Source organism: Homo sapiens, chromosome 4 (assembly GCF_000001405.40).
Source record: "Homo sapiens chromosome 4, GRCh38.p14 Primary Assembly".
Lineage (NCBI taxonomy): Eukaryota > Metazoa > Chordata > Mammalia > Primates > Hominidae > Homo > Homo sapiens.
The window spans coordinates 68,557,077-68,579,673 of record NC_000004.12 but is presented as its reverse complement, the minus strand read 5'-3'; the positions used below and the strand labels follow the sequence as shown (position 1 = coordinate 68,579,673).

At 38.4% G+C, this 22,597-nt stretch overlaps 1 protein-coding gene across 1 annotated transcript in view; it reads left to right on the top strand.

Annotated features, from left to right (window-relative positions):
- The first annotated feature begins 3,351 nt into the window (after positions 1–3,351).
- UGT2B17 (UDP glucuronosyltransferase family 2 member B17) overlaps positions 3,352–22,597 on the top strand; it is a 39,150-nt gene continuing 19,904 nt past the window's right edge. The window contains exons 1-4 of the mRNA NM_001077.4: positions 3,352–3,723; positions 11,126–11,913; positions 13,954–14,102; positions 19,006–19,137. Of these exons, the coding sequence (NP_001068.1) occupies positions 11,190–11,913; positions 13,954–14,102; positions 19,006–19,137 (1,005 nt within the window). The 5' untranslated portion in view covers positions 3,352–3,723; positions 11,126–11,189. The remainder of the gene's footprint in view (positions 3,724–11,125; positions 11,914–13,953; positions 14,103–19,005; positions 19,138–22,597) is intronic.

Sequence of the window (22,597 nt, the reverse complement as noted above, 5' to 3'; positions counted from 1 at the left end):
TTGGGAATCAGGGTGTAAAGGAATTGTGAAAAAGCATCATTTAGGTTTAGAACAGAAAAATGGGTGGTATTCGAGGGAAGTGAGGAAAGTAAAGTATATGGGTTAGAAACTACTGGACACACTGGGAGTACAGCTTGGTTAATGAGCCTGAGGTCCTGGACTAAGTGATAAGTTCCATCTGGCTTTTTAACAGGTAGAACTGATGTGTTAAAAGGAGAGTTTGTTGGGCAGAGTAGGTGACTGGTGAGGAGGAGAGAAATGATAGGCTTTAGGCCTATGAGAGCTGCTTGGGGGATGAGATACTGCTTCTGTGATAGGAACGGGGTGGGCTCTTTAAGGGTGATGTGGATGGGGGTGTGGTGCTCTGTGACCGAGGGTGTGGAAGTATCCCAAACAGTGGGGTTAACTACAGGTGCGGGATAAGGAAAAGTTGCATGCTTCAGGGTGGGAGGTCGGAGGAGTAGAAGAAAGTTAGAAGCCTGTTAGAAGCCTTGGAGGGGTCTGGGTTGATGTGTTGGGTACTATGGGGAATGTGGAAGTGGAGAGTAGTGTGGAGTTTTGAAAGAATATCTCTGCCTAGGAGCAGAGCTGGGCATGAAGGCAGGACTAAGAAAGAGTGACTGAAGGAAAAGGTGTGCAGGGAGCAGAAAAGTGGAGGGGGGTCTTGGGGTTTGGAGACTTGTCCATTGATTCCCACAACAGAGACTTGGGAGGACTGGGTGGGTCCTGAAAATTTAGGTAAAGCAGAGTAGGTTGCCCCAATATTAATTAAAAAAAAAATACTGGCCTATCTGCCAACATCAAGGTTATCCTTGGCTCAGATGAAGCAATGGTAGTTGCTGGGGCATCTGTTCCAGGGCACTGTCAGTCTTCAGCGGCAAGGCTGATGAGATCCTAGTAGGAGGTTTTGGCCGGCTGGGGCAGGGATGGGGGCGGTCCTTGCTGGGGCACCTCACAGTCTGACTTCCAGTGGGGTCCTCCGCAGAGAGGGCACAGCCTGGTGGGCTTACCTGGGTTTGGGCATTGCCTGGACCAGTGGCCTTCATTGCCACACTTGAAACAGGTGCCAGGGGGAGGTGGATTGCTAGGAGGCATCTGTGTGGAGCTGCAGCCTGTGGGCCTGCAGGGCCCGTGATGGTGGAGGCAAGCATTTGAAACTCTGTCTTTTTTTTTTTTCTTTTACTTTCCTCGTTATAACTGTTAAAGACTTTGAAGACTAAATTAAGAAGGTGTCATTGTGGGGTTTCAGGGCCATTGTCAAGCTTCTGAATCTTGCACCAAATATCAGGGGTAGATTGGATGAGGAACCAAAGGTTTAAAATAGTGATTCCTTCTGGGTTGGCTGGGTCTAGGTTGGTATATTTTCTCATGGCTTCAGTTAAACAAGAGAGAAAAAAGGCTGGGTTTCTGTCAGGACCTTGGGTGATTTCTGAAAGGTTTTTATAGTTTACCACTTTATGGGCACCCTTTTTGAGTCCTGCAAGGAGATACACAATCATGTGGTCTTGATGGCAGTGTCCAGAGGCCCTGTCTTGATAATCCTGGTGGGGCTCCTGGTTGGGGACTGCCTCCGTGCCAGTAGGCTGGGCAGGAGCTTGATGATGAATTGTATTAGCATGCTCCTGAACCAGGGTCCAAATATGGTCCCTGTCTTCTGGGGTGAGGGTGGAAGAGAGGATAAGTAGAAGGTGAGGGTGGAAGACAGGATAAGTAGAGGTCATACCAGGTTAGTGCATAAGACTGGGTAAGGTACTGAAACTCCCTAATATAAGAGGTAGGGTCTTCTGGAAATGAACTGAGTCTTGTTAGTTTGAGAGATCAGTGAAGGAGAAGGGAACATGAACTCTAACAATACCTTCAGTTCCTGCTACTTCCTGAAGGGGGCATTCTAGCACCCGCACTGAAGTATGGGTGCAGCGTGGGCCAAAGATGGTGCCCAAGCTGGTATGGACAGGAGAGAAGAAAGAAGCCAGAAGGGGTTCCTGCTGAGGGTTTGAAGGGGGAAGGCGGGTTGAGTTGACAGGCAGTGGAGGATACATAGGGGTGTAAGGTGGCTTGATGGGTTTACAGGCTTCAGGAGAGGGCAGTGAGGAAGGAGACTGAGTACAGGCAATGCTAGAGTTTTCCTGAGGAGAGGACGGTGTAGAAAAAGAAGTGGGTACTTTTGGAGGTGATGCCGGCTGGGAAGATGGTGGCTGGGAAGATGGTGACTGCGAAGACAATGAGAAAGCTTGGGGAGTTATAGAAGATGGTTGAGACGTGGGGGTAGGGGCTGGGAGGGGTGGACAGCAGTCTGCTGGATCCAACAAGGAAAAAGAGGTAGGGTCAGGAGGAGAAAGGTTATGAGGGCGGTGAGAATGAAGGATTTGAACAGGTAAGCAAGAATTGCAGAAGTCAGGTTGTGATCTGAGTGCAAAAAGGCCTGGAACAAGGAATTTCTCCCCATTTTTCCAGTCATCGGCAATAATTGCTTTAACCAGTTAAAATTGTAAAGTCAAGTGTTTCATTTGCTGGCCATTTGGACCCGTTATCTAATTCATACTGCGGCCAGGTTTTATTGTATAAAAAAGACAAGGCGCTTAGGGTGGGTATCTTGCCTGAGGCCTAAGGTTTGCAGATTTTTTATGAGGCAGTCTGGAGGGCTGTTTTTTGGAATGGAGGATGGGGAGTTTTCCATATCAAAGGGTAGGCTCTGGAGAACAGGGAAAAAGAAGACTGTCCTGGACAGCTGGAGGAAGACAATAAAAGGAGCTATTATCACCTCTGCCTTTTTGGTTCCTGGAACGGAATCAAATGGCTTAGAGGCGTCCCCCTAAGACCAGATGATCAGGGAGTGCCTGGCACATACTGGAGCCTTCTTGGATCAGTGTTGGATTTTGGGACAGGAGAAACCAAGAGAGGTCATGCAGATTTTCCCCTGTTAACTGGGCTCCCAGGGAAGCCTAACAGTAGGCGAGATCAGTGACCAATGTGCATGTGAAGGAAGAGAAAGACCTTCTCATATTATTTTATATTGTTTTTCACTCAGTACATGTTTAAGAAAAAACAACAAGGAAGTAAAACCAAAGACAGGCAGCCCAAACGCCAGGACTGAAACTATGCCTGGGCCTGCCTGGCCTAAACTTAGTAGTTAAAACTCAACTCATAACTTAGAAACCAATGTTATTCATAGATTCCAGACATGTATAGAAGAACATTGTGAAACTCCCTGCCCTGTTCTGTTTCTCTCTGACCACCAGTGCATGCAGCCCCTGTCACATACCCACTGCTTGCTCAAATCAATCACGACCCTTTCATGTGAAATCTTTAGTGTAGTGAGCCCTTAAAAAGGACAGAAATTGTGCACTCGGGGAGCTCAGATTTTAAGGCAGTATCTTGCCAATGTTCCCAGCTGAATAAAGCCCTTCCTTCTACAACTCGATGTCTGAGAGGTTTTGTCTGTGGCTCGTCCTGCTACATTTCTTGGCTCCCTGACCCAGAAGCAAGGTGACTGACGGAAGGCTGAGGCAGCCCCTTAGGTGGCTTAAGCCTGCCCTGTGGAGCATCCCTGTGGGGTACTCCGGGCAGCCTGAGTGATGAGATCCAAAGAGCGCTCCTGGGTAGGAAATTGCCCCAGTGGAACACCTCACCAGATCAACACGTAGCAGGCCCCCGTGGAGGATTAACACAGTGGCTGAACACCGGGAAGGAACTGGCACTTGGAGTCTGGACATCTGGAACTTGGTAAGACTAGTCTTTTGAACTTGTCCCACTCCACCTGAGTAGAAGCATGGCCTGGTCACCCACGGTGTGCCTGTGTTGGCACCTTTGTTCTGGTTTTGACTTGGCTAGACTTGGTAGGACTAGTCTTTTGAACTTGCCCCACTCCACCTGAATGGAAGTGTAGCATAGCCTGATCACCCACGGTGTGCCTGTATTGGCACTTTTGATCTGGTTTTGACTTGACTTGAATTGCTGGATACTTTGGTTTTGGTTTTTGACCTGGCTTGGATTTCTGGATACTCTGATTTTGGTTTTGATTTTGGTTTGGTGTAAACTGAAATGTTTGTGTGTGCCCTTTTACCCGTTCTTTGTTTTGTGGTGTGTGTGTGCTGTGAGCATGGTGTTTTGTCTCAAAAAAACATAGATCAGGCACAAAGTAAGCCCACTGCACTGGGAACTATGATAATGAATTTCAAGAAAGGATTTAATAGAGACTATGGAGTCACTATGACTCCAGGAAAACTTAGAACTTTGTGTGAAATAGATTGGCCAGCATTAGAGGTAGGTTAGCCATCAGAAGGAAGCCTAGATAGGTCTTTTTAGTTTCTAAGGTATGGCACAAGGTAACCTGTAAGCCAAGGCACCCAGACCAGGTTCTGTACATAGACAGTTACAGCTGGTTTTAGACCCCTTCCCCCCACCCCCCCTCACAATAGTTAAGAGAACAGCAGCATAAGCAGCTGGCAGAGGCAAGGAAAGACCAGCAGAGAAAAAAAAAAAAAAGGCCATCTATACCAATTCTAAGTAAATTTAGACTAAACAAGGTCTTATTAATAGCAAAGGATAATTGAAATTTCAAACTTACAAGGTTTTCAACAAAAGCGAAGTTTGCTAAAAGTTGACAGTGTAACACATATTATGGTAACTTCTAATCTTGTGGCCTTAGACAGTCTAGTCCAAAGACATAAAGAAAGTTCACTTTTTAAAAAAAAGGAATGGTTATCTTCAAAAAAAAAAGGGGGGGGAGGAGGTAAAATTTATGTAAAAAGAGTGTTATATGGTAAATTCTTGTCCTGAAATAAATTAACTTGTTGTTTAAAGAGAAGAAAAAAATGTTTGTAATAAGTCAGAAAGTTGAGACATGTTGAAAAATTGTTGGCGAAAGTCGTGAAAAAAAGTTATAAAAAATTTTATGCAAAAAATGTTGCATAATTTAAAAGTAATAAGGCCTCCTGAGTGCTATTGAAGAAACAGTTTATGTGCAGGTGTATAAAAAAGTAAAATATAACTTTAATGAGAAGATTATAAGGAGGCATAAGAATGTGGATTTTTACCTACATTAAAAAGTCAAAAAAGAATTATTGTTTGAAAAGTTCAAGCAAGTTTTAAAATGTTAATTTAAAGAAAATTCTGTGTGTAAACTTATTAGCTAAAGTTAAAAAAGTATTATCCAGTTTTTCTGTGAACTAGACATGAAAGTAAAAATGCAACAGGTTTTTTCCTTAAAGCATCAACCTGCTCTTTAACAAAAATTGTAAAAGGTTAAACAGAGTCTATAAAATCTTACCTTATGGTCAACTATGAAAAATTGGATAAATATGTCTACAAGGTTTTATTAAAATTAAGTTTAATATTAATAACACACTAATATAAAAGTAAAATTTAGCTTATCTGGTATAAAAATCATACAAGAAACATTAAATATAAAATGATGTTTAGCTTTCTTTGGTCTAAAAACTAATAAAAATTAGTGCTAATGGAAATATTCATTTTACTAGAGGATCATAAAAGTTAAAGACTTAAAACAAACTTTAGCAATTAAGACAGTATATCAAGCTACAAATGCCTGGTTGAAATGGATCAAATATTCCAACTACACAATAAACAAAAGCAATTGTTATGCTTGTGCACATGGCAGGCCAGAGGCCCTAATTGTCCCCTTCCCACTACGGTGGTCCTCCAGTTCACCAGGTGTGGGCCTGATGGTAGCTCTTTTCCAGGATTCTACAGCCTGGAGTAATAAGTCATGCCAAGCTCTCTCTGCTATATCCTGAAGTCCCTGCCAGTCAGCCCCCAAGGGCCATCCAGCTTCTGTCTCTCAACACTAAGTTCACTTCCTGTCTCTCACGGCAGGGAGGAAACTTAGCATTCCTTGGAGACCTAAAAGGATGCAGTGAGCTTAAGAATTTTCAAGAGCTTATCAATCAATCAGCCCTTGTTCATCCCTGAGCAGATGTGTGGTAGTATTGTGGTGGACCTTTACTAGGCACTCTGCCAAATAACTAGAGTGGCATTTGTGCCTTAGTCCATTGGGCTATCCCTTTCACCCTGGCATTTCATCAACCAGAGGAAGGAAAAAATAATAATAACACATCGTAAAGTGAGAGGAGCCCCTTATAAGTCTTTCAACTCTCACATCTATTTAGATGCAATCGAAGCCCTGCAAGGAATACCAGATCAATTTAAAGCTTGAAATCAAATAGTTACAAGATTTAAGTCAATATTTTAGTAGATAACAGTCAATAAAAATGTAGATTAGATAAACTACATCTATTACAACCAACAGCAAAGAGCTTTTCATGAGTTAAAAAAAAAAAAAAAACTCATGTCGGCCCCAGCCCTGAGGCTACCTGACCTGACAAAACTCTTCACACTCTATGTGTCAGAAAGAGAAAAAAATGGCAGTTGGAGTTTTAACCCAGACTGGAGGTTCCTGGCCAAGGCCAATGGCCTGTCTCTCAAAACAACTAGACGGGGTTTCCAAAGGCTGGCCCCCATGTCCAAGGGCCCTGGCAGCAACAGCCCTGTTAACACAAGAAGCAAATAAGCTAACTCTTAGGAAAAACCTAAACATAAAGTCTCCCCATGCTGTGGTAATTTTAATAAATACCAAAGGACATCATTAGCTAATAAATGATAGACTAACTAGATACCAAAGCTTGCATTGTGAAAATCCCCACATAACCATTGAAGTTTGCAACACCCTAAGCTCACTATCTTACTCCTATTATCAGAGAGCCCAGTTAAACATAACTGTACATCAGTAGACTGGGAGCTGTACGTGGATGGGAGCAGCTTCACCAATCCCTGCAAAATGACTCTGAAGAAGACAACAAACACTGCTCCAGTCACACCCAGAAGCTGACTGGTCCACGCATGGCTGAAGCATGAGGAGACTCATCGCAGGACTCATTTTCCTCAGAATTTGGACTTGTACAGGAAGGACTTCAACTGACCTTCCTCAGACTAAGAACTGTTTCCAGTATATACATCAAGTCACTGAGGTGGAACAAAAGATTGCTACAGTCCTATTACTTTATAGTTATTATAAAAGAGCTAATTACTTTATGGTTATTATAAAAGAGCTAATTGCCTTCCATGATCACGCCCTCATAATCGTCTTTCTTATCAGCTTCCTGGTTCTATATGCCCTCTTTCTAACACTCACAACAAAACTGACTAACACTAATATCACGGACGCCCGAGGACTCTAAAAAAATTAAATAGCAACAAAAACAACAACAAATTGTTTGTATAATGCTATTCTATCCAAGGTATGTAGCCCAGGAAATAACCAACCTGATGTGTGTTATGAACAATTTTAAGCCTCCCATGATCACAGTTTTTAAAATAAAATTAAGGACTGCTCCTTTTCTATGTGACACAAGTAAGGTAATAGGTAGAACCGAAAAAAACAGAGCTCCTCAAAATGTAACCTTAAAATTTGACACTTGTGCCGCTATTAATAGTAAGCAGCATGAAACAGGATGTGATTCTCTAAATTAAAAAAGAAAGTTACACAGTAAAAAAAATAAGTATATCTGTCAAAAATCATATTTATGTGAGATGTGTCAATACTGGTCTCGTGTCATTCAGACTACTTAAAAGGAAAATAAAAAAGATCGTGTTTGACTCCAAAAAGGAAAACTCAGCCCCTCTTGCATGAATAGGAGCTACAACCTTTTAGAATTGATAATCACAAACCCCTCAGACCCAAAGTAAAATAAAAGAAAAATATATATCATTAGACATGGATAAAAAGGGACTAGATCCTAATGTAAGCATCCTAATAAAAGGAGAGGTTCAAAAACGCTCTCCAGAACCAGTGTTTCAGACTTTCTATGATGAACTAAATGTGCCAGTACCTGAGATTCCAGGAAAAACTAAAAATTTCTTTTTGCAATTAGCCTAACACGTAGCCCAGTCTCTACAAGTCACCTCATATTATGTTTGTGGAGGAACCATAACAGTAGATCAATGGCCATAGGAAGCCCAAGAATTAGTTCCTACAGACCCATTTCCTGATGAATTCCCAGCCCAAAAGAATCACCCTGATCATCTCTAGGTTCTAAAAGTCTCAATTATTAGACAGTATTGCATAGCTAAAGAAGGAAAAGGATTCACTCATCCTGTAAGGCAGCTTAGCTGTCTTAGACAAAAGCTCTATAATAGTACCACAAAAACAGTCACATGGTGGAGTTCCAATTACACAGAAAGAAATCCATTCAGTAAATTTCCAAAGTTGCAGACTGTTTGGGCCCACCCAGAATTCCACTGGGACTGGACGGCCCCCACCGGATTATACTGGATATATGTGGACACAAAGCTTATGCTAAGCTGCCTGATCAGTAGACAGGTAGCTGTGTAATTCGCACCATTAAGCCTTCTTTCTTCTTACTGCCCATAAAAACATGAACTTCTAGGCTTCCCAGTCTATGCTTCCTGGGAACAAAAAAATGAAGCATAGCCATAGGAAAAGATGATAAATAGCCCCCTGAAAAAAATCATACAATACTATGGACCCGCCACTTAGGCACAAGATGGCTCATGAGGATATTGGACCCCCATCTACATGCTCAACCGAATCATATGGTTACAAGCTGTTTTAGAAATTTTTACTAATAAAACCGGTCAAGCCTTGACCGTTCTTGCCCGGCAAGAGACTCAGATGAGAAATGCAATCTATCAAAATAGACTAGCTCTTGACTACTTGCTAGCAGCTGAAGGAGGAGTTTGTGAAAAATTTAACCTTACTAATTACTGTCTACACATAGATAATCAGGCAAGTTATTAAAGACATAGTTAAAAATATGACAAAACTGGCACATGTACCTGTGCAAGTGTAGCACGGATTCAACCCTGAAGCCATGTTTAGAAAGTGGTTCCCAGCACTAGAAAAATTTAAAACTCTTATAATAGGAGTTACAATAATTATAAAAACCTGCTTACTGCTCCCTTGTTTGCTACCTGTACTTCTTCAAATGATAAAAAGCTTCATCGCTACCTTAGTTCAACAAAATGCTTCAGCACAACTGTACTATATGAATCACTATCAGTCTATTCCACAAAAAGACATAAGTAAAAAAATGAGTGAGAACTCCCACTAATAAAAAGTGAGAGTCTCAAAAGGGGGGAATGAAGGAAGAGAAGGACCCTCTCAGATTATTTTATATTGTTTTATGCTCAGTACCTGTTTTAAGAAAAAACAACAAAGAAGTAAAACCAAAGACAGGCAGCCTGGCTCCAGGCCTGAAACCAGGCCTGGGCCTGCCTGACCTAAACCCAGTAGTTAAAAATCAACTCATAACTTAGAAACCGATGTTATTCAGAGATTCCAGACATTGTACAGAAGAACACTGTAAAACCCCCTGCCCTGTTCTGTTTCTCTCTGACCAGCAGTGCATGCAGCACCTGTCACATACCCACTGCTTGCTTAAATCAATCACGACCATTTCATGTGAAATCTTTAGTGTTGTGAGCCCTTAAAAAGGACAAAAATTGCGCACTTGAGGAGCTTGGATTTTAAGGCAGTAGCTTGCCGATGCTCCCAGCTGAATAAAGCCCTTCCTTCTACAACTTGGTGTCTGAGAAGTTTTGTCTGTGGCTCATCCTGCTACACATGCACAGAGAGGCAACTGGAGGCTGAGGAGTTTCCTTTGTCTGGTTGCTGTGGCTTGCTCTCTGGGGTGGAGGGGTAGGTCCACAAGGGACACAGACCTGAGCCCCACCCAGGTTTTGGCACCAGATATAAGGTTCTTGAATTGGTTTGATCCCTGAGAGCATGCCAACAGACAACACGAGGCAGTGCGGAGCAGCGTGCTGTTTTAATGAGTGCCTGGGTGCAGGTGGGCTGAGGCCTAAAATGGCATCAGCCCCAAGTGAGGATGGGACAGTGGTTTTATAGTTCTCTGTAAAGAGTAAGTGTCCCAATCTAACGTGACTGCTATGTAGTATCTGGATGGCCTCTTGATCTTCAAGGGTTCATGTCTCCAGCCAGGGTAGGTGTCTTCTGGCCGGCTCTCTTCCTGCTTCTGCTATCTTGCTGACACACGCTGCTGATGCAAGCAGCCTTGCATCTTGGGACTGGGCCTGAGAAGGGAGGAGTTACTCATCCCTTCAAGCTTTCAGGCCCCAGAAGAATCTTTGAACCCCCTGCTCCGCTGGCCACCCTCCTAAAGGATCACTGTGGTGCCAGGCAGGAATGAGCTGCTTGGGTATCCAGAGAGCTCCCAGTACCTTTCTGCTACTTCCTCTACCCCTATATTTTGCTTGGCTTGGTTCTCTAATTTGACTCAGCTTCACATAAAGTCAGGAACTTCTCCTGCAAACAGAACTTCAGCTTCTCCAGTGGGGATGTGTATTCTGGAGAGGGGGATCACCCTTTCCCACTTCCATTGTTGGGGCACTCACAGTGTTTGGGATGTCTCCCAGGTCCTGCAGGAGCAGTACGCTTCCTGCAGAGGGTGTGTGGATCCTCTCAGAATTGCTGGTCTGTCCTTGCAGTTGACCTGCAGCTAAAATTCACAATGCAAGCCTCTGCATGCTGCTCTGTCTGGAGCTGCAATCTAGTCCTGCATCCCATCTGCCATGATCACTGGAAAACCCTCATTTATTTTTTAAAGGGTCCAGAAAATGCTAATCTATAGAGATAGAAATTAGATTAGTGGTTGCCTAGGGTAGGATGGATGCAAAATTTCAGAGTGGGGGGTTAGAGGCTATTGTATAGAATCTTTTGGAGATAATACTGATTATTGTAGTGAAAGTAAAATTCTGTGAATATACTAGGAAACATTGAACTGTACACACTAATTGGTGAGTCATATGGTATATGAATTATGTGTCAACAAAGTTTTAGAAGACATTACTTGCACCACGATATTAAAAAATGGCGTTTGAGTTGTATAATTACTTCTTCTCTCTATGTCAAGGGCACCGAACAGGCAGGAGCCTCTCACCTGCCACTGTTCTTAACAGTATTATAAAATAATTACATAAGACAGGTTACTTACGTATTCTAGGTCATAAAAATTATTGCTTGACTAGAGTAATTGTAAATATAAAAGAACACCAAACACACTAAAATAAATATGAGGTCAACTCAAATTTTAGCAGTTATATTTTAACTTGATTGATTTTTCCTCAGATATAAGTATGAGAAATGACAGAAAGAAACAACAACTGGAAAAGAAGCACTGCATAAGACCAGGATGTCTCTGAAATGGATGTCAGTCTTTCTGCTGATGCAGCTCAGTTGTTACTTTAGCTCTGGGAGTTGTGGAAAGGTGCTGGTGTGGCCCACAGAATACAGCCATTGGATAAATATGAAGACAATCCTGGAAGAGCTTGTTCAGAGGGGTCATGAGGTGATTGTGTTGACATCTTCGGCTTCTATTCTTGTCAATGCCAGTAAATCATCTGCTATTAAATTAGAAGTTTATCCTACATCTTTAACTAAAAATGATTTGGAAGATTTTTTTATGAAAATGTTCGATAGATGGACATATAGTATTTCAAAAAATACATTTTGGTCATATTTTTCACAACTACAAGAATTGTGTTGGGAATATTCTGACTATAATATAAAGCTCTGTGAAGATGCAGTTTTGAACAAGAAACTTATGAGAAAACTACAAGAGTCAAAATTTGATGTCCTTCTGGCAGATGCCGTTAATCCCTGTGGTGAGCTGCTGGCTGAGCTACTTAACATACCCTTTCTGTACAGTCTCCGCTTCTCTGTTGGCTACACAGTTGAGAAGAATGGTGGAGGATTTCTGTTCCCTCCTTCCTATGTACCTGTTGTTATGTCAGAATTAAGTGATCAAATGATTTTCATGGAGAGGATAAAAAATATGATATATATGCTTTATTTTGACTTTTGGTTTCAAGCATATGATCTGAAGAAGTGGGACCAGTTTTATAGTGAAGTTCTAGGTAAGTCGTGTGTCCAATTGGTGTTTATTAAGTTCTAATTTTCCTGTGCCTTTGAAGGTGGGCTTATATAAATATAATGTCAGAAGATAGTGTTTTTATGGGAAATTATGAATTGCAAATGTAAGATGATCTATGAGTCTCAAAAATATAGAATGTTGACCTTATAGAATCAGTTAGAACCCTGGTGCCATCACTGCTATAGGACACCAAGAGAGTCATAAACCTTCAATGTAAAACACTTATGATTTCTTTAAGCCATCACATATCATTTTGCTATACATTTTTTCATCTTTAAAAAAGTCAATAGATACTTCAAGAAACATCTTCATGAAGGCAGACATACAAATTTTATATTTACACATATTTCTAAAAATATTATCAATGCAGGATTGAGGAACTTGTACCTGAGTACCTCAGTTTCCTCATTTAGAAATTAAATTTTGTTTTTCATATAAGAAGGATTCCTTCACAGTTGAGAAATATAGTGGCTCTACTCCAGAAACAGAAGCCTAAAACTTGAGATTTCTAATATTTATACATTCCTTCAATAACAACTTCACAATTATTTCCTTCAAAAACTGAAATCTTGTTGAAAGTGAACATCTAAGTTTTAATCTATATTTTATTAAACTGCATCTCTCCATCAAAGAAAATAGGGGCCAAAATAAGGAAGAGCACATATCTCTATGTCAATAAATTCTGAAAAATTTTTAATTCTCATTTGTAAATATATTTATTTTAAAAATCTAATTATATTAAGATCTTAAGATGAACCAAGACAGTAGTAGGTGTAAAGATTTCAGTGTTGAGCTCAAAAAACTCATGGTTTACTTTGAGAACCAAGGATCAAGGGACTAGCTTAATAAACTGTAGACACTAGAGTACTTCCTGGAAAGCTGTTTTCATGGGTAAGGTAAGATGAATTAATTGTGGAACTGAAAGAGTTGTTTAAAGGTATATTTGTTACTATTGCAGCTTCAGAGGGAAGACAAATGTGTATTTAAGTTCATAGTGGCTACATTAGTCCATTCTCACACTGCTGTAAAGAAATACCTGAGACTGGGCAATTTATAAAGAAAAGAAGTTTAATAGACTCAGTTCTACATGACTGGGATGCCTCAAGAAACTTAGAATCATGGTGAAAGGCTAAGGGGAAGCAAGCTTGGATCTTCTCACTTAGTGGCAGGAGAGAGAAGTGCAAGCAGGGGAAATACCAGACACTTATAAAACTATCAGATCTCATGAGAGCTCACTCAATATCATGAGAACAGCATGGAGGAATCCACACCATGATCCAATCACCTGCCACTGGGTCCCTCCCTCGACACATGGGGATTATGGGGATTATAATTCAAGATGAGAGGAGATTTGGGTGGGGACAGTCAAACCATATTAGTGACTTATTTTAATAATTATTTATGATTGTGAATATACTGATGTTACATTAAAGATGTGATTTCTTCTTACAGCTCTCTGAACACTTTGCCTTCCTTATATATACATATGAGCAACATATGCAATACATAAAAATTAAATGATGACTATATAAATGTATTTAATATAATGTATTTACATTATATTAAATTATTTTATTAAATAATTTAAATATTAAATTAAAACTATTAAATATTAAATATTAAATTAAATATTAAATATTGTTTAATTTTATTAACTTTATTAATGTTTTATTAATAAAATAAAATTAATAAAATTTTATTAATATTAAATATTAAACTTTATTAAATATTAAAAATTAAAAATTAAATACTATTAAATTAAAATATATTAACATATATTAAATACATTAATTTAATATAATGTATTTAATATTATTTAATATACATTAATTTAATATAATGTATTTAATATAATGTATTATATTATATAAATGTATTTATATATATTATCAATGTGCAGACATTTTATATATTTTTAGGTATGTTATTCCAAGTCCTTTCAGGAAAATACCTGCATATTCAATATTAAAATAACAATTCTCGTGTTAGCTACCTTTTGTTTTGTTTTGTTTTTTTCCATCAGGAAGACCCACTACATTATTTGAGACAATGGGGAAAGCTGAAATGTGGCTCATTCGAACCTATTGGGATTTTGAATTTCCTCGCCCATTCTTACCAAATGTTGATTTTGTTGGAGGACTTCACTGTAAACCAGCCAAACCCTTGCCTAAGGTGAACATATTCTTGTTTCATTTGTTTGCTTGACATTTTCAGAAGGAATGGCTGGATATGTTTCTTTCAGAGTGTTTAACTCAGAGTGAGGGGAATATGGGAGGTCAAAAAAAAGGACTTGCCATTAGAAAATCATATATTTCTATACTATCACAAGTATGTGAATGTTATTATCATTAAAGACCAAAGAGGTTTACTAGGGAGATTTTGAAAACAGGGTTGGTTAAAGTAAGGCCTTCATTGTGCAACCCACAAGATAGTATGGTTCATTTCTTCAAAAAATATTTGTAGAGTGATTAATGCAAACCACAGGTAAGTGCTGGATTTTCAGAGAATAAAGGTAGCACAGTTTCTGCGCCCTCATGCCTAACATTGTACTTTGAAAGATAGAATAAAAACAAGTGAAAAAGAAAAGTCTAAAAAGTGTTATAAGGAAAGACCACAATGATAAAGAAATATGCAGAAGAGATCCCAAACTCATTGACAATTAAAGTGAGTACTCAATAATGTGCAGAGATAGGTGAAACGATGAGGGGATGAGAAAGACCCAAAAAGAAAACCAGAGGCCAGGCAAGGTGGCTCACACCTATAATCCCTGAATTTTGGGAGGCAGAGAAGGGACGATTGCTTGGGCTCAGGAGTTTGAGACCAGCCTGGGCAACATGGTAAAACCTCATCTCTAACAAAAATAAAAATAATAGCCAGGCATGCTGGTGTGTGCCTGTAGTCTCATAGTCCCAGCTACTTAAGAGGCTGAGGCAGGAGGCTTGCTTGAGTCTGGGGGCAGAGGCTGCAGTGAGCTGAGACCACACCACTGAACTCTAGCCTGTGCGACGGAGTGAGACTCTGTCTCAAAAACAAACAAATAAACAAACAAAAAAGTAAAGTCTTGCATTAAGGCAGAAAAGTAGAAAAGCAGTAAGGGCAGTTCCCAGGACTCCAAATTTAGTTTACAGGAAAAGGTTGAGTAAAAGTCAATGATGGGCCGGGCGTGGTGGCTTACACCTGTAATCCCAGCACTTTGGGAGGCCGAGGCAGGCGGATCGCCTGAGGTCAGGAGTTTGAGACCAGACTGGCCAGCATGGTGAAACCCCGTCTCTACTAAAAATACAAAAATTAGTCAGGCATGTTGGCAGGCACCTCTAATAGCAGCTACTCGGGAAGCTGAGGCAGGAGAATCGCTTGAACGCGGGAGGCAGAGGTTGCAGAGAGCCGAGATCATGCTATTGCACAACAGCCTGGGCAACAGAGTGAGACTCTGTCTCAAAAAAAAAAAATATATATATATATATATATATGAAATTTGATATACCCATTAAGGACAATGGAGAGCTACTGAAAAGAGTTAAGAAATGAAGAGATATGATCAGATTTCCTTTCAAAAAAAATCCCAATGTTCTCAATGTGTAATATTACAGAAAGGCAACTTTGTACAATGTAAAGAATATTTAGGAACTTTTACATGAGTTTAGGCAATCATGACTACTTTTACAATAATAATCACAACTTCATATTGTGTTGTGTGGAAAAAAGTAGTTACCACAGATAAAACACTTAAGTTGTCTCTGACACATAGCCAGTGATCCAAAAATATTGTTGATATTATGATTATTATTTTAGTCATTATTTCTAATATTTTAAATTAGCTAACATGTGCCAGCCATTTAAGATATCAGTCTTCATTTAATAATGATTGATTTTCCTAGCAAAATCCTAGAGAACAGATACTCTGTGTGCTTGTTTAAATATAAATGTTTAAGTTTGGGCAGTCAGTTGAACACGCTGGAAAGCTAAAGTTGTATTGCAAAGGTGGAGGCACTTCATTAATATTTTAGCTTAAAAGGTAATTCTGTGTACTCTTATCTTATTCTCAAAAAAAAATCCTCACTCACATCAAAAGAAAGTGATAGTGCCATTAGCAGGGGGAAGAGAATAGGAGAATAAGGAGGACAAGGAATAAATGACTAGTAGTACAATAGTGATTATTACTAATACTACCATGATCTCAGCTCACTGCAACCTCCACCCTCTAGGTTCAAGTGATTCTGATTCTCCTGCCTCAGACTCCCAAGTAGCTGGGATTACAGGCACCCACCAACACATCCGGATAATTTTTGTATTTTTAGTAGAGACAGAGTTTCGCCATGTTGGCCAGGCTGGTCTCGAACTCCTGACCTCAGGTGATCCACTTGCCTCAACCTTCCAAAGTGCTGGGATTACAAGTGTGAGCCTCCGTGCCCGGCACTGGCTGTTGTTGTTAACCTGCAAAAGGTAGACTTGAATCTAAGTAAATAATTGTGAAACCGATTCTCTAATTCTTTTGTACACAAAATAATTGTTGCCACAAATTTGCTTGCTTTTCCATTATGTATTAGATTCTCAGATAATGTTTGTATATTTCAAAAGAATAAGACTCTTGCCAAAAAGTATCAAGTGTTTGAAAACTGCATATAGTTATTGCCTTTGTAATATATTCACATGAAACTGTACAGAGAATAAATCATGATGGTAAGATTCAATATTAGTAGCAAATATTCGTTAAAAAACTCTGGAAATAATTCAAATATCTTACATTAAGAAATGGTTAAAAACTTATACAATGCGCATACCAAGCCATTACAATCCATTTTTTCAAAACAATGTTTAATTACACTGTCAGCTGTAGTACAGGTATAGTTGGAAACTAAGGAACAGAATGATGAGTAGAACAAGATCACAATTTTTTTGTAGGATAAAAAGGCATATACAATGAGAAAAAATTTTCTAAATAAACATCACATATGTACATTGAGTTATATAAATAGAATTAAAACCATAATGAAATGGTACACATTTTAAATTGAGATAGAGATATGGGAAAAATGATTTTTTTCCTAAATTTTCATACTTTTACAAGACTACTTACATTGATCTTCTATTACCATTGCTTTCATAAAGACGTCACAGAATGAGATCAGTGCTGATCTGTCTATAAACAGACGATTTTTTACTTCAATACTTGGTGGATGAAGAAGACTTTTGTCAGTGAATGAGACAAAACATTAAACCGAAGTTACATTAAATGTGGCTACAGGCAACTGCAATTACACTGAGTTCCTGGATGCCTCATGAATTAACTCTAATAGCCATACACTGAATCTCCAATTAAAACTGATATCAGACCGGGCACAGTGGCTCAAGCCTGTAATCCCACCACTTTGGGAGGCCGAGGCAGGTGGATCATGAGGTCAGGAGGTCAAGACCAGTCTGGCCAAGATGGTGAAACCTGTCTCTACTAAAAACAGAAAAATTAGCCAGGCGTGGTGGCAGGTGCCTGTAATCCCAGCTACTCAGGAGGCTGAGGCAGGAGAATTGCTTGAACCTGGGAGGCAGAGGTCGCAATGAGCCAAGATTGCATCATTGCACTCCAGCCTAGGTGACAGAGCAAGACTCCATCTCAAAAATAAATAAATAAATAAAATAAAATAAAAATAAAAGATGTCATAAAGTTCAATTATATTTTTGAAAAATACCAATATATGGTCTGAATTGACATATTTTAGAATTTCCTTTTTTATTCGTAAACAGTTTTATAAAGAAATTTCCCCCAATGATTAGGACCAGAAAGTATATTTGTTATGATAGAAGGGGTTGGTCATTATTTTACTGAGAAAAAAAGAATTTAGAACAAAAGGGACAATAGCAACAAAAAGATGAGTATACAATTTTGATATGATATCCGGGAAACTTATGAGTCTACATTTCTTTTCCTCTTTCTCTCTTTCTTTTTCTTTTTTTTTTTTTTTGGTGTGAGAATACATTGACTGATGTGGCATTAGAGAATGGATTTAAGTTTAAAAACAGGAACACATCAGGAAACACAAGTCAGAATAATTCTCATTCATTTCGAAGCAAACACATATTTACCAGGAGCTTCATATAGTGTGAGGGAGCTACTCTAGGGGGTGAGCAGATCTCCACTGGAGAAAGGCTTGGTGACCTCTCCCACTGTGGTTCAAGTGCCCCCTGTGAGACACAGCAAAGTGAGGATGAGGGTCCCTCATGGTAAGTTATAAATAGCACATCAATTTCACAGTGTGATTTCAGGACAAAAGGTATCATAGTCATACCTAAACAATGATCTGAGAAATAAGATCACTTAATTATGTAACTAAATAGTATATAATACTGTATTATAAATGGAATTCTCAGAACTATTTCCCGGAAATTCCAAGCCCCAACACCAGACTGATGAACGTCAATGATTCTTATACTTCAGCTTTTAAGGTGTTTTTTGGGGGTGGGGGTGTCGGGGGAAGTGAGGGGTAGTGGGGTAAGACTAGGAAACTCTAAGTGAAATATAAAGGGTTAGAGAGCTAAAGAAGCTAAATAAATGTAGATATAAAATCATTCTAATTGTAACTAACTTTTCCTCATTGCTCATAGTCATGTAATGGCTCCAATGACTCCTAACTAAAAGAACTGAACAGAAAAAAATAAAATAAAATGACCCCAAATAAACACAAGAGATTTAGTAGAACTACAAAAAAAAATAGAATTAAAGCCAAGTAAAGCTACCTTCCAATAACCTATGTTAGTAATTATAATATTATAAATAAAGTGTCTGGGTGTAATATTTTCTAGCATTATCTCCTCCTACTGCAGTGTCATAGCTTTGTTTCATTTCTTCCTTACACACACATACATACATGCATATGCACACATATTTACACAAATTTGCATGAAAGATCCCACATATATTATATTACACATCTCCTTTCAAAGAAACTGAATGATTAGGTCAGTTTAAAAAAATTACTCCAATAGCTCCTGACTTTCTCATCTTAGATGTTTGTAACAATCCTGTCAACAGTGTTTTCTGTGCTGTTGCTCTTTTCTGATAGAACAAATTCTTTCTTCACAGGAAATGGAAGAGTTTGTGCAGAGCTCTGGAGAAAATGGTATTGTGGTGTTTTCTCTGGGGTCGATGATCAGTAACATGTCAGAAGAAAGTGCCAACATGATTGCATCAGCCCTTGCCCAGATCCCACAAAAGGTTAGATAAAGTGCCTTAACTGTGGATGGCTACTAAATGAATCTGTTAAACTCTTCAAGAGTCCATTACAGAAATGTTCTGCCTGAAAATTTAACTGCTATGATAGTTCTAATTATCTCAGACATCTGTTCAAAGCAAAAACATATATGGAAGATCTTAAAATCATAAAGAGAGGAGTTTTGGTTGATAATAACGTTGGCATTAATATTGTGATCAGAAGGAAATATATTTAAGAGGTGCTAGTGAAGTTTGGTATTATCATGGTATCGTAGCATGTACATAGAAATCACTAAATTCTGCCCTGTCATTTGCTCCTTTTGGTTTACAGGATTTTAGAAGGTACTGTATACACTGTAGATATTATCAAAAAGCGGTAAAATTTTAATAAGTTACTGTACTATCACAATAACAATAAGCAGGTATTGAAAAAACTTTGAAATGCATCATGCAGCTTCGTCTTACCAAGCAATCTGGCTGTTTTTACTTCCCATGCATTGGAATAGGTCTATTTAGCGTTCTGTTCAGGGTGCCATTCAGAGAAAGAATGTCCTAGTCTGACTAGCCACTGCTCTGGAGGTACCCACCTAGCCAAGTAGATTTAGAGAAAAAGAAAAACTTGTCTGCTCTGCTGGCTTGGGTGCCGCTAATGTCTTAAGCAGAAAAATGTAATGGAAAGGATGGAGATAGAATCCTGCTTTTAGGGTAGACTATGTGCATTATTAAATGTGGCCCAACAAAGACTATGCTCTAAGAATCAGATTAGTGCCTTCTCCACATTGAGGAAGGAGCAGGAACTATAAATAAACATGGTAGGAACTTATTTTCTAATCTATAGAATATACCTACAATCTTTGTGTATTTTCAATTTACGTTTTACTTTCTTATCTGCATAGCCCTCTCTGAATGATCTATGCAAGTTTTTGCTGAAAACACAGAGTTACTTTAACACTCCCATATCAAATACAAGGACAACACTTGTAAATTCTACTCCAGTTTATAAAGATTGCTTGGGAAATCTAAAATCAGTACCTTAGTTTGGTACTAGACATGGTAATGACTGGCTATAGCTGACCATATATCAAGGCTGTCAATGCTAGGTAGTGCATCATCTAAGTGTGAAAGATCAGTTAAGCAAAAAGTAGCAAAATACAATTTTCTACATTCTCAGCATCTGTATTGTTAATCATGAATTGTCAATGGGCTCCTTTTTCCTACATTGTTAGCATTTACAAAAGTAGCAATACTGATAATAGTCTGAATTTACTACATATGTAGCATTATTTCTCACCATATGTGCAGTTTAAGTATTTAGTCTTTTGTAATCAATGATGTCAAATTCATAAAATAACTTATGACTAGTAGACAAGTGGATATAAGTAAACTCTTCCCATATCACTCAAAAATTAATAAATTTATATTAAATTTGGAAGGTTACAGCTAGTATAAAGTATATAAAATAAATATATAGGTTATTACTAATTTGCTACTTTTTTATTACTAGAATTAAGACTGCCTAACAATTCTTATATATTTGAATATTTCATTGATAATCTTGTGAACCCCAAATATCTGATACAGGTCTCAGTACATTTAGAAAGTTTATTTTGCCAACTTGAAGCAGGGAAGAGGCATTCCTTTGAGCTTCTGATTAGGCTCTCCAAAGGAGGCAATCAGATATGCATTTATCTCAGTGAGCAGAGGGGTGTCTTTGAATAGAATGGGAGGCAGTGATTTGCTTAGTGACTTTGGGGCCCCCAGGTTTATTTTCATTTTACATTTTAAAAAAATCTTTTGGAGAAAGCATTTTAGAAGAAAATGAGTCTCTGGTCTCAGGTTTTCATCTGATCTCTAATGGCAAGGAAGGTTTATTCCTAAGCAGGTCCTGAGTTATTAGGAAAGTTCATTTTTAGCAGGTTCTGAAGTCTCATGTACTGTGAAGACAAAATAAAGGGAGGAAGTGAGAAAAACAAAAACAAAAGAACAATCCTTTAAAATTAATATAGGCCACATTACTCTGAAGTCCATAAATCAGTAGGCAGGTATGAAAGTGGATTATGTATGTAAATTGGTTGCTGTTATTTTCTTCTGGAGTTTAAGTTGTCTAGCTTAATTTGTAGGGCTTTATGAAAGCATAGCTTAGTTTACAGTGACTCCAAATTAGGAAAAATTGTGGAAGGGGAGGAAAAAAAACCTGAAGACACTATTTTGAAGACGTGTAGCCATGAAAAATTAGAATTCAGTCCAAACTGTAGACAGTAATAAAAATTGAAAAACATTAGGCAAGACTAGAATCTAACAACAGGTATACTGTTATTTTTGAAACATAATTTTTCTGTCTTCAGTTTCCCAATTTTACTAAAGACAAACCATGGTACAACTGATTTGCTTTATTATACTTGGCCTGATTATTGTATACAGAGGAGGAAGAATAATTTTTTATTTACATAGGCTTTTAAAGTGGCTTTGATGGAACTTTGTCTTATAGAAAGAATCTCAGATAGGACTTTTTTAAAGCTGAGGCAAGCCATAGATTTGTACCATCAAATACCTATGAGTTGGGTGAATTCCTCTCCTCTTGGGGTTCCAAAATAAACTTGGGGCTCCTGGGCCTGTCAGAAAGTTACATTCTTTGCTTAACACAGTTCAGGAACCCTGTACAGGGACCTTATAGATGAAGGTATGAGGCCAGTTTTCCCAAGGGGTTTTATTGGCTCCATAAGTTAAGTTTGATTCCCTAAAGGAAAGCCCACCATTCCAGTGGAAGCCTTGATAAAATAACCAGTTTCTCCAATTGTGTTTTGTTAAAAATGAAAATAGATTCTTATTGCACTTATGCAAATAACTGTATTGACAAAAGTAAAAAATACTCACAAATAGTTTCCAAATTCTGAAAAATCAGGTAGAGGGAAACAAATATGTTCTAAATTTTTTTCATAGGAGTATACTAAATTGTTAAAAGCTGTTAATAGCTCAAAAAAAGAAAGATTCCTTCACTCTAAAAAAAAAAACAAAACAAAACAAAGGATCAGCAATGTTTTAAGCAAAGTCAAAAAGATTACTTTAGTTTTCTATTATTTCAGTCCATGTAGTTAATTCCTGTTCTGCTTGATATTCATGAACATTTTAGTTCTCCATGAGTCCTGAAAGTTTTTCTTCCATTCTAATGTCACAATCTCCAAAATTATCAAAAACTTTTTTTCAAGAGCACCTGTTAGAATTTCATGGCTGAGTATAAAATCGCCTTCTAAAGAGGACCAAAGTCAGACAACAATTGTCTGTGGATGACAAAAAGTTTTAGGGCAGCCTCAGTCAAAGACACAATGGACAAGGAAATTTGTTACCTCTGTGGCACACAATAACTTAACATAACAAATATAATTATTACTGATAATGTACACACTAAGTCATATCAGAATTATAGGAGTTTCCCATAATTTTGGAACACATGCCAATAACATAT